At 42.2% G+C, this 16,648-nt stretch overlaps 1 protein-coding gene and 1 long non-coding RNA gene across 10 annotated transcripts in view, besides 1 other annotated feature; one reads left to right on the top strand and one right to left on the bottom strand.

Moving 5' to 3' along the window:
* CDH13 (cadherin 13) overlaps nucleotides 1-16,648 on the bottom strand; it is a 1,173,672-nt gene that overhangs the window by 25,044 nt on the left and 1,131,980 nt on the right. The window lies entirely within an intron of this gene.
* CEDORA (CDH13 antisense oligodendrocyte and neuron associated lncRNA) overlaps nucleotides 2,648-16,648 on the top strand; it is a 52,560-nt gene continuing 38,559 nt past the window's right edge. For all 5 annotated transcript variants that reach the window (NR_188498.1, NR_188499.1, NR_188500.1 and 2 more), the window contains exon 1: nucleotides 2,648-2,788. This is a non-coding gene — a long non-coding RNA (CDH13 antisense oligodendrocyte and neuron associated lncRNA). The remainder of the gene's footprint in view (nucleotides 2,789-16,648) is intronic.
* Nucleotides 5,985-6,124: an enhancer, noted in NCBI's record as "active region_11231". NCBI's record gives its function as "activates an Ori minimal core promoter by ATAC-STARR-seq in GM12878 lymphoblastoid cells {active_cell/tissue: GM12878}" and the evidence as "EXISTENCE:reporter gene assay evidence [ECO:0000049][PMID:35858748]".

Raw genomic sequence — 16,648 nt, 5'->3', positions numbered from 1 at the left:
AAAACACCCAGAAATGGAGCTAGAATGGGACTCCCTCTTTGCAGCTCCCTTCTGGAGGGAGCCCAGGGGCCATGTTCTCATGGTAGCCATTTTAAGGATCAGAGAAGTCTAACTTCTAAACATGTGGGGGTCTGGCTGAGTTTGTAGGGGCTTCTGTCTTTATAATGTTAGGAGCTGTAAGGACTGCTGACAGATGAACCATTCCAGCTTTCAGGTCTTCAACGTGGTTGGGAGGTGAGTTTCCAATTGGGAATCTGCTGAAGGTCATGGCCCCTGCCTCCAGAGAAACGCACCTGCATTCAGAAATATACCTGAAGAGTCCACAGACACGCAGATTGCAAGCCCAGGCTTGGTGCAAGATCAGAGCAGAAGATCTGAGGCCAATTCATTGTAGGTATGGTGAGGCTGAGGTCCAGAGAGATTTAGGACAGGCTCAAATGGACACCGTGAGTGTCAGGCCTCCTTCTCTAGAGCAAGCATTAACCTATACTTTCTCCACCAGAATTTTTATTACATAGCTTGAGTCTTACAGGCTCTCATTTTAACCATGAAAGCAAGCTATAATCCCTAAACCATAATTCCAGGTTATTATTATTACTATTTACAGCTTCCTTCTTATGAGCTGTTCTTTTCATTGTGGTGAAATATACATAACATAAAATTGACAATTTTTAACCACTTTGAAGTGTACAGTTCAGTGGTGTTAAGTACATTCAAATTGTTGTGGGAACATCACCACCATTCATCTCCAGAACTTTCTCACCATGCAAAACTGAAACTCTGACCCATTAAACACCAAGTCCCCATTCCCCTTCCCCTGGCCCCTGGCAGCCACCATTCCACTCCTTGTCTCTATGAATCTGACGACTCTGGGGAACCCATGTAAGTGGAATTTTTTATTTTTTTTTCACAAATAAATGGTAGGCCGGGTGTGGTGGCTCAGGTCTATAATCCTAGCACTCTGGGAGGCTGAAGTGGGCAGATCACTTGAGGTCAGGAGTTTGACACTGGCCTGGCCAACATGGCGAAACCCTGTCTCTACTAAAAATACAAAAAATTAGCTGGGCATGATGGCACGTGCCTGTAATCCCAGCTACTCTGGAGGCTGAGGCAGGAGAATCGCTTGAACCCAAGAGGCAGAGGTTGCAGTGAGCTGAGACTGCACCACTGCACTCCAGCCTGGGCAGCAGAGCAAGACTCTGTCTCAAAGAAAAAAAAAAAGAAATGGCATTTGACTAGGTCATTCTAAATGTATTTGAGATTCTTAGCTTCCTGTTCCTATTTTGCTTGCTGGAAATGACTATGACAGCCTGTGTCATAGTCAGGCTGGGTACCCAAGGAATCATCATTTCCAGCTAGCATAGTCATAGTTGTCCCTGTAGTAGGACAATAGGCAGGATAGGCGCTGGGACCAATGTCCTAGGCTTGCTGGTATCACCGGCCATGCACAGTAAAATAGCATTTACTATTTCTGTAGGACGAATAGCTCAGTAGCCGAAAATGATTATAGAGTTGAGTAGATCTTTTTCAGAGATAACAGCAGGGGGCTGGGCTCCACATGGGGACAGTCTGTGCTGATGGAGGTTTGTGAAGCAGAAATGAGACCCCAGAGCTGAGGCCTCGTCTTCCAGCTACAAGACCATGCCAGGCAGGGAAGGGGGAGGGATAAGGATGGAGAGAAAGGAGGAAGCTTGGGAGCAGGACCTTATTATAGAAATGGGCCTCTGTGGGGTAGTGGTTTAGAGCCTCATGACTGGGGAACAGTGTTGGAGCCTGTGGCTCAGCCACCAGGAGAATCACCATATACTAATGCTCACCCTGGGTTTGAGGCAAGGCTAGAAGAACTTCCTTACCTCCTAAGGATAGATAGGCTTGACCAAGAGGGCCATAACCTTCCCCTGTGCTGGACTACACTTTAGATGGGCTTCTTTCAGACTCTAGAGCCCTGATATGGTTTGGCTTTGTGTCTCCACCCAAATCTCATCTCCAATTGTAATCCCCACATATTGAGGGAGGGAGATGATTGGATCATGGGGGTGGTTTCCCCCATGCTGTTCTCTTGATAGTGAGTGAGTTCTCATGAGATCGGATGGTTTTATAAGTGTCTGGCATTTAACCTGCTAGCACTTCTCTCTCCTGACACCATGTGAAGAAGGTCCTTGCTTCCCATTTGCCTTCCACCATGATTGTAAGTTTCCTGAGGCCTCCCCAGCCATGTGGAACTATGAGCCAATTAAACCTCTTTCCTTTATAAATTACCCAGTATCGAGTAGTAGCTATACAGTAGTATGAGAATGGACTAATATAGGCCTTGACTTCTCTTTTCTTGAAGCATTTACTTTAGAAACTTGCAATTGTAAATTCTTTCTCTGTCCCTGTGAGATGTAAATCTTCCAACCTGTTGCTAGTTTTGCAACCCAGGACCACTTTTCTCAAGGACCTGACATCTCTTTGAAATGTAATCATGGAAAGGAATAGTGTCTCTGTCTCTCAGTCTCTGTGGAAGGGTTGGAGCCTAACTCCAGTAAACACCCATTAGCAAACACAGATGCCTAATCACATGGACCAACCTCCCCACAAACATCTTCCAGTACTTTTCCATTAGCTCATCCCAGCTCTTAAAAATCGTCCCATTGTTTGTTTCAGCAGAGTTAGTTCAATCTCTCTCCCTTATTGTAGCCTTGAATAAAGGCTTTGCCTTTCAAACTCTGTCCTGCCCATTTTTCTTTGACATGTTCAGATGTTGGCAAGGCTGAAAACTGCAGGGGATCTGGTTGTGATAATCCAGGTAAGCCACAGGGAAAGCACAGGTAAGGCAGAAGCAGGGAAGTGAGGTGAGGGGTGGTGTATCCATGAAAGGAGGGTTCCAAAAATGAATGATAAGAATGGTCATGTCACACCAGGAGTGTGGTACTGTGTGCACCCGTTGGCAAGCGACTTAATGAGATTGCTTTAAACATGGCTTGATTTTAATTTGTAGAACAAAATTGAATCCATGATTGATCCACAAGGCCCTGTGAAGTGTTTTGTAAAAATATACACTAAGTCTTTATGGTCAGAGTTTCTTTGATGCCGGGAGTTTCTGCTGACCTATATTCAGTGTTATAAGTAATTGGATTTTTCTTTTTAACCAGCAGTTGCAGACTGGCATTTGGTCTGCTAATTTATCGTGTTTCTGGGATGTCCAGTGTTCTAAGAATTCTTATTTTTTATCCAAATGGCTTCAAGTGGAGCACATATTTCCAAGATGACCACTGGTCCTTTCCAGCCTACTGCCTCTGCCCTGGCTTCTAGCAGCATAAGACTTGGGCCTTCCTCATATGTTCCCTCCTAGCTAACCTGACTTTAGCCAGTATAGATTTTTCTTCATTTCTCCATTCCTGAAGTATGGCTCCCTCCTTTCTCTTAAGCATGTCTTTCAGTCTTATACTACTTCTTTTCTTAATATTGAGTCTATTTGTATACATGGATAGTTTAATAGGCATCTCATTTAAGGTTCTCAAATAAGTATACAAGCTAAAAAGTCACCCCCCATCCTTCTCCACCCACAGAGTGTACATTGTGTTGGGTGATATCATGGGGAAAATACCAGGAGCAAACCTTAGCTGCAGGAATCTCTTTTCTCTTGTGTCATTGACTTCTTATTAGAAAGACATGTGTTTTGGTTACAAGGTTGGCAATTCCATCATGCAGCAGTGTGAATGGGATGTAAGGAGATATTTTTAATTTTACCTCCTAATACAACCATATCAAATCCCATTTCCAAATGAGGAAATGAGGACTTGTAGGCACAGATATCTGGAAACAAAGCCTATTTAAAATTGCTTAGTAGGAATGACAGTTTTCCTTCCGACCCATTTTCAGTGACAGCCTGTCACTCTTGACTGAGAGATCTCCAACCTACAAATGTTGGTGGGTTATTTATTTTGCAAGCAGCCCTCCTGCTGCCATACAATGGCAAGTCTTGAGGGGGAAAGGGTTATCATTTTCTTTCCTTTGGATCTGAGTTACTGGCTCTGTTGCTCTAGAGGACTATGCCTTTTAGACCATGGCGGTGCTTTTGCTTCATGGACTTGGCACCCTGCCACGGTCTTCCTGGCATTCAACCTCTGCTTGCCCTTGTTTCTGGCTTTGTCGTTCCCACTCAGCACTGACAACTTGTAAGAGCCTCAGCACATTATATGACCACGATAGGACCACATGGATTCCACTGCTGGATTTCAAACTCCAATAATTAACCTTGTATTTCTTCAAGTTGAGCAGTGATAACTGCCTATGAGATGGCCAAGTTGGCCACCTGGCCTGCCTGGGTTACTCTTGGTCTGGTTGGCTCATGACTTACACTTAGCCTTTTGTGATCTTGGTGTAGGGAGGGCAGAACTGTGCGTTTTCTAAGAGAAGCAGGGTAATATGATTAATAAAAGGTGAAGATTTACGTAGAGGAATCGAGCACCTGTTATCATACAGTCTAGGAAAAGTCCAAGCAAACCAGGCAGGCTGTTGCTTTGAGCACATGGGGGTCTACATTCTAGTTTTTTCTCATTTTCTAGAAAAGAAAACTAGACACTCAGATTAAGGAAAATGTCCAAGGTGCTCTAACATTAGTGTGTCAGAGGCATTGAAATCAGAGCAACTCCATCTTGAATAGGTGCTGGGTAAAATGAGGCAGAGATCTACTGGGCTGCCTTCCCAGGTGGTTAAGGCATTCTAAGTCACAGGATGAGATAGGAGGTCAGCATAAGATACAGGACATAAAGACCTTTCTGATAAAACAGGTTGCAGTACAGAAGCTGGCCAAAACCCACCAAAATCAACATGGTGACAAGGGTGACCTCTCGTGGTCCTCACTACTGCACTCCCACCAGCACCATGACAGTTTACAAATGCCATGGCAACATCAGGAGGTTACTCTCTATGATCTAAAAAGGGGAGGCATGAATAATCCACCCCTTGTTTAGCATATCATCAATAAATAACCTCAAAAATGGGCAACCAGCAGCCTTTGGGGCTGCTCTGTCTACGGGGAGTAGCCATTCTTTTATTCCTTTACATTCCTAATATACTTGCTTTCACTTAATGGACTCGCACTGAATTCTTTCTTGCGTGAGATCTAAGAACTCTCTCTTGGAGTCTGGATCGGGACCTCTTTCCAGTCACAAGCATGTCACCTGTTTAAGAGCTGTGGCCCCCTGGCAGGGCATCCCCATCCCTGGAGCTTTCTGGCTATTCTATAAAGTGAATGGAATGCCTGGCAATTGTAAAGCACTTCCCCGTCCATAAGAGCCAGAGCCACAGAGCTCGAAGTTTGAGTATTTTGGTGCTTGTGGTTGGTACTAAACACTGGTAGAAAGGGTAAAAAACAGTTTCCTGTGCTTTTCTTACCTACATGGCCAACAGTATATTGCTTTGTGTGGGAAGCCTGTAGAACTGAACCAGGACTCCTCCAAGAAACATGAGCCACGCGTGGTTCTCCTGGCATTGCTTTGACGCTGTGGGTGTGGATGCAATGAGAAACAGGGTCAGGTTTTGAAACCATCCCCACAGGGTTGACGGGAATTGCATGCCAGGTTCTGGGTACAAATACAGTTATAATTCAGCGTTAATCAGGCTGCACCCTGGCCCAGTTCCTTGTTGCAGTAGGTCATGTACCGTAACCAAGTACCCTGATTTTTCTGAGGTGGTTTAATTACTTTTTTCTCTTCTCTTCTCCTTTCCCCTTTCAGCCTGCTTCCTACCTAGCCCTTTTTGAAATGCAAAATAACCTCTCACCTCCCCCTCACCACACATTCCCTACAAGGCAAGGTCATCTACGTGCCCCAGTGATCTCTTCTCCAGAATTGACAGTCAATTTGCAGATCAAAGCACATCTCCACGGAACTCCCACTTCTGGGGTGGCCTCAGGAGGACATGGTGAAAACACGCCCACTTGGCCACTTTTACAACTTATTTCTGCCCAGGAAGGCACCAACTCAACTGTATGCCAACTCAGCTGTTTGGTAGATAAGACACCAGGCTAGCAGGGGGACTTCCTGCCCTTGCTCACTTCCCCTTTAACCTTATAAACATGTCTGCTTTTTGCTCCAAAGATGAAGCAGCACACTTAAAGCAGGACACTTTGTGTCTTTCCAAGCTAGCTTCAAAAATAAATTCACTTTTCTTGTACCAGGCCTGGATCTTGTTAATTGGACTCTGCTGCAGTGAGTGGCTAACCAGTTCCTCAGTTACAGTAGCACTAGATCCTGACATTTGCTTCCCCACCGTTCCCCTAGATAGGATCTCTGACATTAAGGCCAGAAGACTGTTTAAGAATTGATTTGCATCCCCATTGTTCCTATAGACACTTAAGATGTTTTTCAGACACACCTCCCCAGAATTCCAGCCACCAGTTGGAAGTCTCCCACAGGGGAACAGGATCAGCATGAGAACACAGCTGCTTCCTCTCCCCTTCCTATGACTTCACCCTGTACTCTTGATCTCCACACTTCTGCCCACTCCAAAGCCCTCAAAAACCCAAGCCTCAACTTCCTTGGGGAAATGGCTTTGAGGTTCCCTCCCATCTTCTCGTTCTGTGACCCTGTGGTCAAGGTGTTTGAACCAGAGCAACTCCATCTTGAATAGGAGCTGGGTAAAATGAGGATGAGACCTACTGGGCTGCATTCCCAGACGGTTAAGGCATTCTAAGTCACAGGATGAGATAGGAGGTCAGCACAAGATATAGGTTATAAAGACCTTGCTGATAAAACAGGTTGCAATAAAGAAGACGGCTAAAACCCACCAAGACCAAGATGGCGATGAGAGTGACCTCTGGTCATCCTCATTGCTACACTCCAACCAGCACCATGACAGTTTACAAATGCCATGGCAACATCAGGAAGTTACCCTATATGGTCTAAAAAGGGGAGACATGAATAATTCACCCTTTGTTTAGCATATCATCAAGAAAAAACTATAAACATGGGCAACCAGCAGCCCTTGGGGCTGCTCGATGTCGTAGCCATTCTTTTATTCCTTTACTTTCCTAATAAACTTGCTTTCACTTTACTCTGTGGACTAGCCCTGAATTCTTTCTTGCATGAGATCCAAGAACCCTCTCTTGGGGTCTGGATCATGACCCCTTTCCATTAACACTATGATTAAACCTGTTTCTCTGCTGCAACCTGGTGTCATGGCATATTGATTTGCTGTGTGCATTGGTTAACAAACCTATTGCGATTACAATTTGTGTGTGTGTTTTTTTGTCTATTTAAATTTCAGGGATTTTATTTCATGAAAAACCTTGACCAAACAGGATTTCCACTTAGCTAAAAAACACTGAGATTTTTTTTTCACAGGTTCTGTTGTTCAGTAGCTATATATATAAGTGCTTTATATCTTGTCATTAATAGACATAACTAAAAACATAGTGTGATCCTAATTTAAAAATCTACATATGATTAGAGAAAAATTAGAAAGACATATATAAAAATGTAAGTGGTGATTATTTCCCTAGGTAATTAACATTAAAATAATACATTTATCTATTTTTAATTTTCTTTACAATAACCATGAACATGTTAAACTCAGAATTATGCAGGGATTAAAAATATTTTTTTCTAATTCTACTTTACTTTTTTCTTACTCTTTATTTTTGCGACTATTAATTTTTAGTACATTTACAGAGTTGTGCGACCATCACCACTACCTACTTTTAGAACATTTCATCACCCCCAAAAATAAACCTTGGGCCAATTTGTACTAACTCTTCATGCCCACTCCCAGCCCCTGGCAACTACTGATCAATTTTCTGTCTCTACAGATTCGCCTATTTTGAAGATTTAATATAAATGGAGTCATATAGTAGGTAGTTTTTTGGGTCTGGATTCTTTCACTTAGCATAATGTTTTTGAGGGTTGTACATGTTGCAGTGTGTATTAATACTTCATTCTTTTTTATGGCTGAATAATAATCCATTGTATGGATAGACCATGTTGTTTATCTACTCACCAGCTGATGGACATTGGAGTTGTTTCCACTTTTTGTCTATTACGAATAATGTTTCTGTATTAGTCTATCCTCATACTGCTAATAAAGATATACCCAAGACTGGCTAATTTGTAAAGGAAAGAGGTTTAATTGACTCACAGTTCCACATAATCATTCAGAAGGAGAATGAGAAGCAAAGTCACAACTTACATGGCAGCAAGCAAGGGAGCTCATGCAGGAGAACTCCCGTTTATATAACTATCAGATCTCTTGAGACTTATTCGCTACCATAAGAACAGTACGGGGAAAACTGCCCCCATGATTCCATTACTCTAGATGGCCCCACCCTCGACACTTGGGGATTATTACCACTCAAGGTGAGATTTGGGTGGGGACACAGCCAAACCTCATCAGCTGCTATCCACATCGGAACACAAAGGACTAGATATACATGTTACAAAATTTCTAGACCAGTAAGACAAGACTCCAAATGCCTCTCCCAAGAGGGTCCCATTAGAAGAATAGGATCCCTGGTCTTGCCACAGTGAGATGGTATATGAGTCCATTCTCATGCTGCTATAAAGAATTGCCCGAGACTGGGTAATTTATAAGGGAAAGGGGTTTAATTGACTCACCGTTCCGAGTTGCTGGGGAGGCCTCAGGAAACTTACAATCATGGCAGAAGACAAGGAGAAGCAGGCATCTTCTTCACAGGGTGGCAGCACAGAGTGAGTGCAAGCAGGGGAATGCCAGATGCTTATAAAACAGTCAGTTCTTGTGAGACTCACTCATTACCATGAGAACAGCATGAAGGAAACTGCCCCCATGATTCAGTTACCTCCACCTGGTCCTGCCCTTGACATGTGGGGATTACAATTAAGAAGAGATTCTGGGTGGGGACACAGCCAAACCATATCAGATGGGTTGGTTTCATAGGCACAGAATGTTAGGATCTCAACACAAACTTTCAGAAGTTAGCTCTGAGAAGTCTTAGAAAGTAGTAGACTTTTCCAGCCACTTGTCCCAAATCTTCCCAGAGGTAGGCCCAGAGGCATGCAGCATATGTCTTACCTTGGAAGTTATGAGTACAAGTGGTTTTATTTGGAAACAGTGTGCAAAGTGAGGTTGTCTGTGTGAACAATGAAATGTAGGAAGACAGAGAACAGGGAAAACAGGAAGCCCATATAATAAGTGCTCAGCATATGTTTGAATTCTTAGGTTGATGCACAAGTAATTGTGGTTTTTTGCCATTACTTGCAATGGCAAAAACTACAATTATTTTTGTGCCAACCTATAATTTGATTTAAAAAACAAATATGTATGGCTCTTCCTGTAAATGTAATCATATATGTTTGTATTTCCATAAGTTTGCTTCTATTTTGAGAGTAGTGGCTCTGTCTAAATTCAAATCCTTCCTAATCTAACCCTTGGGGAGAAAACAGTGTGTGGTGGGGCAGAGGTCTGCAGAGCTGGGACTCAGAACAGGGTGCCCATACCAGGGACATAGAGAGGGACCTTGGCTAGTGTCCCAAGGAAGCCTGAGGCCCACATTCTGGGAGGATAATCAGGAAGATGGGCCCATCTGAGAGGAGCCACAATTTAGATGTGAGCTAATGAGCAATCTTGAGCATGGACACAAGAGCGGTACAATCTATGGCCCCAAATTCCCTCTAGGTAGCTGTGCATCTGTTGAACCTTCAATAAGCAGCTGTGAGCAAATACATGCCAGGCCTCTTATGTCATCTGAACAGGACTCTAAATGTACCTTCACCTTTGCTTTAAAACTGAGAGTGAGCCAGGTAACAAACCTGCACGTGTACCTCCTGTTTAAGATAAAAATAGAAAAAAAAAAAGAAAGCTGTAAGTGAACCAGGAGTCTTCTAAGGTTATCCTTTGTTTTATTTTATACTTTGTGTTCTCTTTAATATGGTTTTTCAGCACCAGTATTTTACAAATCAGCTCTATAAGCTGAGAATCTCATTGTTTTTAAACTTAAGATCAGTTTTATTGCTTTGCTAATAGAGATCTTGCCAATTTCATCTCAGAAATCTCTCTCTCTCTCTCTCTCTTTGTGTGTGTGTATATATATATATATAGAAAAATGTTAATAGTAAGCCAACAAAAAGTCTGGTGGAAAATAAGTTTGCAATAATATAACGCCAGGTTTCCGTGTATACTATACTTGATGTAGAACTGAAGCAATTATCCACATAATTTGGGCTGAAAAATTATTTTAGAAGAGACAATAATGTAAAACTAAACTGTTGTACAAAAATTCAACTTTTTGGTTTTTTTTTCCATTCCACTGACTTTAGATAAAAGAAAAAAAGGGAAATAATTAATTTTGAGGCCATGTTTAAACATGACAGTTTCATTTTATTCATTCAGTCAATAACCATTTACTGGGACTCTACCCTCTGCCTGGATGGAAATGTGCTAATGTCAATGGTACAGGTGCCTGCTCTTGAAACGCTAATGCTATGGCAGGAACAGATATGTAAGCAGATGTGGGATGGTGTTACAAGCACAGGAAGAGAGGTGATAATAAAATACTTGTGGCTTGGGATAATTAACTGCCTGGGGATAGATCAGAAGGCTTCATGAAGAGATGGCATTTGAGTGTGCTAGAAATGAGAATACCTTGTAGAGAGGATGAAGGTTGTTGTAGGGGGACGAAGTGGTGTGGCTATTTTGTGAGAAGTTCAAAGACTTTAAAGCAGGAGAATGGCTTTGATACAAAGCAGAGGATGCAGACGCACAGGCAGGAATGGACTTGAGTGAGGAGGCCAGGACTGTCATGGAGGCCATTGCGAGGGCTTCAGGGAAGGCAGGCAGGATGCAAGAGTAAAGGGCTGACTTCAGGAGGCTGAGCAGCCGTGGCAAGGGCCTCAGGGAAGGCAGGCAGGATGCAAGAGTAAAGGGCTGACTTCAGGAGGCTGAGCAGCCGTGGCAAGGGCCTCAGGGAAGGCAGGCAGGATGCAAGAGTAAAGGGCTGACTTCAGGAGGCTGAGCAGGCTGAGGGGGTGGGAGCCTCACAGAGGAAGGGGTCTTGCTTGAGGACTGGGTAGATGGCAATGCCAATATAAAGCTGGGGAAGGGGGACTCCAGTGGGGGACCAGCTAAAAGACACTTTGGCAGGATGAACTGGTTGAGATGGGCATCACTGACAGTATTTTAATGTCAAAATCAGTTTCTTTTGCATAAAAAATGAATGAAAATGTTCTGTTTAAGATAGTTGATTTGCCTGATCAATGTAGAAATGTCCTGCTGTCAGGCTTCCACCTGCCCATTCAGCCAGAGACAAGCTCCATGAATTGATGCCAACGTCCAAGGACACCTTTTCTGGCTAATTGGATTTAGCATCCTTGTCCAAGTGGGGGGGTCCATGGCCCATCCATTCCCTAGAAAAATGCTCAGATCACCACCACGGTGGTCATAAGTGCCTTTTCATAGTTTGCCTCAGCACTCATGATTCTGTAATGACATGCTTAGAAGATCAGTCCATGACTCAGTTCAAGTCAGTTCACTTAAGCATTTCTTATATGCTTAGGAGTACTGGGAATTGTGCATTCATGATTTCCAACCCTCTAACAACCCAGCAGGCAGATGGCATTATCTTCATTCTGCAGGTGGGGAAATTGAGGCTGAGAGAGTGTAAGTCTCTCGGCTATCATTGCACAGCTAAGATGCGGAGCTGAACTCATCCTGAGGTGTAGATGGCACTAGGCTCCATTATCTCAGTGGACCCAGTGTGCTGCCCCTCCAATGGCTCTGATCACACCTCACTATTACCAGATCTTAAGAGTTCTTTTATTGGGCCATTTTGTCAGTGACAAACTGTAGGTAGTATTTTCAACATGACTGATATTTTGCGAGTGCTTGAAGTAAGGCGGAATGATGGCTGGGTCATCAATTTATTTTTCCTCCTCAATTAATATCACAGCTGAGATAAGGGGTGTTAAACTGGCTTGATTGGGTTGCCATCATAACTAATGGCTTCATTTTATCCAAACTAGCATCTTTTAAGTAGAATCAATCTAAATAATCTTACTATATCCCCCCTGCAGTCTAGAGCTTGGTTGAGCTATGAAAAGAGAAAGACCACAGGCTGAGGTATCTTTCTGAAGTTCAGTTCAGAGCCCCTCCCACCCTCAGTTTGGGGGCTATAAATTCAGTAGTTCAGTAGTCATTTCACTCTGGGGCTGAATAACAATTTTTAAAAAAAATCAATCTAAGCATATTTTGAACAATATTTCAATTTTGAATCAGCTGGCATTATTGGAACATCTATCTTACAGAGGACTGAAGGAGAAGACAGGCTGGGACATGATATATCTTAGCCTATGAAAAATCATTATCTTAGTCTATTCCATTTTAATTTTACAGCTGTTATGCCTGGTTCTATATCTGTGTGTCTTCTTGGCAACCCACATCACATTTTTCACTGGCAGGCTCAAACATACTTTATATAAGTTGCTAAGTCATGAAAACATGCTGCTGAATTTAGTGGTAATTTGGCTTGTTTTAAAAGCCATCACTCCCCCGTTCTTTTAAATGGAAATAGATGGGGAATATGACGCGTTTGATAATCATATAAAGACTTAATACGGGCCCCGTAGAGATGGTTTGGGCTGCCAGGTTCAAACTATTTCATATGCCCTGAGCCTTAGGGGGAACTAACAGGGACACCTTTTGTTTTCGTCTTTCTTTAAACTTGGCAGAGTGTGAGAGGGCATTTGGGCTTCCTGGAGCAAAATATTTGTCTTCATTGTTTGCAGTCATCATTTAGGTCTTCTGTGAGAGCATAAGAGCCCCATTCAATAACAATCATGGAACAATGAACCCTACACAATTTTCAAGCAAGAGGAGGGGGAAAGATTAGGTTACCAGTAAGAAGGAGGCAGGAAGACCAGTCTCAGAGAATTCTGAGCAGTGAGCGTGGAGTGAGTGAGCCAAGAAGCAGCGGCCAACGATGCCTTTCCTGCCTGTGGCCGTCCCCAGTGGGATTCCAGAACCCTTACGAGAAATCGCCTGTGACAGTTTTCAGCCCACATAAGACAGGGCGACTAACATTTGACCTTTCTGGTGATTACCTGTAGGCAGGAGTGGTATTGACACTGGGATTTGGCCAGTGCTAATTGCTACTGCCTTGCTCCACTGCCAGCACATCCCCAAAGGGATTCCATTTTATTGCATTCCCGAATGTTCTCTCTACCGCTTGGGTTTTTCCTTAACAGTTTTTTTTATTTTATCCTTTCTTAAGAGAGGGCAGCAATTCTGTGTTCATTGAAGTCTTCCATAAAAGAGTGCCTGTACTCTGAAGGCACTATTTTGACCTTTCAGAAAATCTGGACCATATAAGGCAAATGACGATATTCATCTCTAAAGATAAAATGCCAGCATTAAAGGTCACAACTTATTAATCTATAGGATTAAAGGCTTTACTCATCAAGTCATTTGGCCACAGCCAGTTTTGATGTAGCAAAACAAAAGCATTTCTGTTTTATTGAAACAATGTTCTTAGGTAATTTACAGCTCATTAAAATTACTTATTTTATTTTTATTTTATTTTTTAGGTGGGGTCTCGCTCTGTCACCCAGGCTGGAGTGCAGTGGCGTTAGCTCACTGCAACCTCTGCCTCCCAGGGTCAAGCGATTCTCCTGCCTCAGCCTCCTGAGTAGCTGGGACTACAGGCATGCACAACCACGCCTGGCTAATTTTTGTATTTTTAGTAGAGAAGGGGTTTCACCATGTTGGCCTGGCTGGTATCGAACTACTGACCTTAAGTGACCCACCTGCCTCAGCCTCCCAAAGTGCTGGGATTACAAGCGTGAGCCACTTTGCTGGTTATAGTGCATTAAAATTACTGATAACAGTTTGTAAAATCAAGTTAGCCTAAAGCTGCCTTCTTAAATATGCTAAGTTCCGCCTAAAGGTTTCCCTGTACATAGTGAACTATAATCTGAATGGAGGTGTAAACAGACTGTCACCTACTCTCGTGCCAGTCTCGGAGTTTGAGCCAATCAAAGGGCCAACTGTTCAAATAGCGTTCAAATAAGGCAAATGCCGAGTGTAACCAATCCAGCTGCTTTTGTGCCTCATTTCCATTTTCTGTACATCATTTTCCTTTTTCTGTCCATAAATCTTCTTCCACTACATGCCTGCGCTGGAGTCTCTCTCAGCTTACTTTGGCTTGAGAGGTTGCCCAATTCACCAATTGTTCTTTGCTCAACTAAACTCAGTGAAATGTAATCTAGCCAAGGATTTTCTTTTAAGTTTAAAGAAAGTACCTTGAATATTCTGTTGGTTACAACGTGTCTTTTCCTCCTCAAGTCATCTGCAACCTAGGCATTATCAAAATTATTATGAAGCACGATTCTAGAAATTATCTAGACTAGCTCTGGGGCCCCAAGCAAATAGGTCCAAAGGGCTCTTTATTTCTGTTAACCTCAGATCAGGTTTTCAGTCCTGCTCTTTTGACATCACTCCATTCTGATCTGACAGTTTGTATCCTCTAAGGGGTATTTAAAGGAAAGTTATCGTTTGCTACCATCTTAAAATTGTTATAAACTGAGTATGTTGAGCTGTGTGTAGCAAGTTAACGATGGTGTCACTTCTGCCCGTTGCAAAGCATGGTAGGGACTGCAGGGAACATGATTTGCTTTGCTTTGTTCCTTATGTAGAACTCTTATCACTCACCTTTCCTGGCAAAATTGGCCCATCAGCAAACAGGGATTGCCCTTCCTTGGAACAAGATGCTGAGAGTCTGTCTAAATGCTCAGAAGGTACTTGAGAATATGTGAATGGTTACAGGACTAGCTACGTGCTCTCTCTCTGCAGCCATGCATTTTTTGTTAGGTTCTTATTGAAACATAGAAATCTTCATGTATCAAACACACAGTTTGAAGAATTTTCACAATCTGAACACACCCATGTAGTCTAGTACTACCAGATCAAGAAACCCATCCACAAGGTGATCTGCTGGCTAGGATTAATTTCGCCTGGGTTTGAGCTTTATATAAATGCAGTCATTTAGCATGTGTGTTCTTGTTTCAGCCTTCTTTTGCTGCACACTATGTTTGTGAGATTCACCCATGATGTTGTGAATAGTTGCAGTTCATTCACTCATTATTATTGTACAGATGCCATTTTGTGAATGTATCACAATTTATTATTCAACTTTTGCTGGGCATCTGGATAATTTCCAACTTTGGGCTCTTATGAATAGTGGATATTCTGGCACTCGTGTTTTGGGGAACACATTTCTGTTGGATAGATAATACCTAGGCATGTAATTCCTGGAACATAGGGCATATGTATGTTCAGCTTTAGTTGATACTATGTTTCCAACGTGGCTGTACCCAATTTACACTTCTACCAGCTGTGTAGGAGAGTTCCAATTATTTCACACCATTGCCAGCACTGGGTATTTTTCATCTTTTCATTTCAGCCATTTTATAGGTATGCTGCTGTACTGCACTTCATTGTATTTCCTTGATTAATTTGTGTTTTAATTTATATTTGTATAATTTAATGTATATATCTTTATTTAATTAAGTTGAGCATCTTTTCATACATTTGTTAGGATTTGTGTATTTTCTGCTGTGAAGTATTTGTTTAAGTCTCTTATCTATTCTTCTTTGGGTTGTGTCTTTTGCTTACAGATTATAGGATTTCTTTCTTTTTTTTTTTTTTTTTATTGGTTTTGAGACAGGATCTCACTCTGTCCTCCATGCTGGAGTGCAGTGGTGTGATCATGGCTCACTGCAGCCTTGAACTCCTGGGCTCAAGTGATCGTCCTGCCTCAGCCTCCTGTGTAGCTGGGACCACAGGTGTGTGCCACACCACTTGGATAATTTTTTTTATTTTTTGTAAAGATAAGGTCTTGCTTTATTACTCACACTGGTCTCAAACTCCTTGGCTCAAGTGATCTGCCCACCTTGGCTTCCCAAGGTGCTGGGATTATAGGGCATGAGCCACTGTACCAGGCCTGCAGCATTTCTTTGTATTATAAATATCTTCTACTCTGTAGGTTACTTTTTACTTTCTTAACTGTGTCATTTGAAGAATCAAAGCTCTTAATTTCAATGTAATCTATCTTTTTTTTTTCTTTTGTGGTTAGTACTTTTGTATCCTAATTACGAAAAGCTTTGCTTACACAAAGGACATATATGTTCTCATATGTTTTTCTCTAAAATATGCATTTTTTCCTTCTATATTTTGATCTGTAATATATCTAGAATTAATTATTGTATATGGTTTAAGAGGGGGTCAGGATGCATTTTAAAAAATATGTTTATTCAATCAACTTGGCCTTATTTATTGAAAGACCATGCTTTCTCACCTGCACTGCTGTGTTGTGTTTTCCTTGTTAGAATCAGAAACTGGGTATGTGTGGAATTCTTCCTGAATTCTCTATTCTATTGCATTGGTCAGCTTGTTCCCATCTTTGTGCAAATACCATGGTTTCAATTACTATGGTTTTCTAATACGTCTGGATATATGTACGGTAGTGTAAGTTCTACAACTTATTCTTCAAGATTGCCTTGGCCATTTTTCACTCCTTGTATTTCCATATAAATTTTATAATCAGTGTATCAATTTCTGCCCCGATCCCCATGCTGGGATTGGGACTTTGCATGGTATTGCATTGAATCCCTCAGGTCGGTTTGAAAAGAATTGTCAT

Source organism: Homo sapiens, chromosome 16, assembly GCF_000001405.40.
Source record: "Homo sapiens chromosome 16, GRCh38.p14 Primary Assembly".
In the NCBI taxonomy this organism is placed as follows: Eukaryota; Metazoa; Chordata; class Mammalia; order Primates; family Hominidae; genus Homo; species Homo sapiens.
This window is presented reverse-complemented; position numbering and strand designations above follow the sequence as displayed.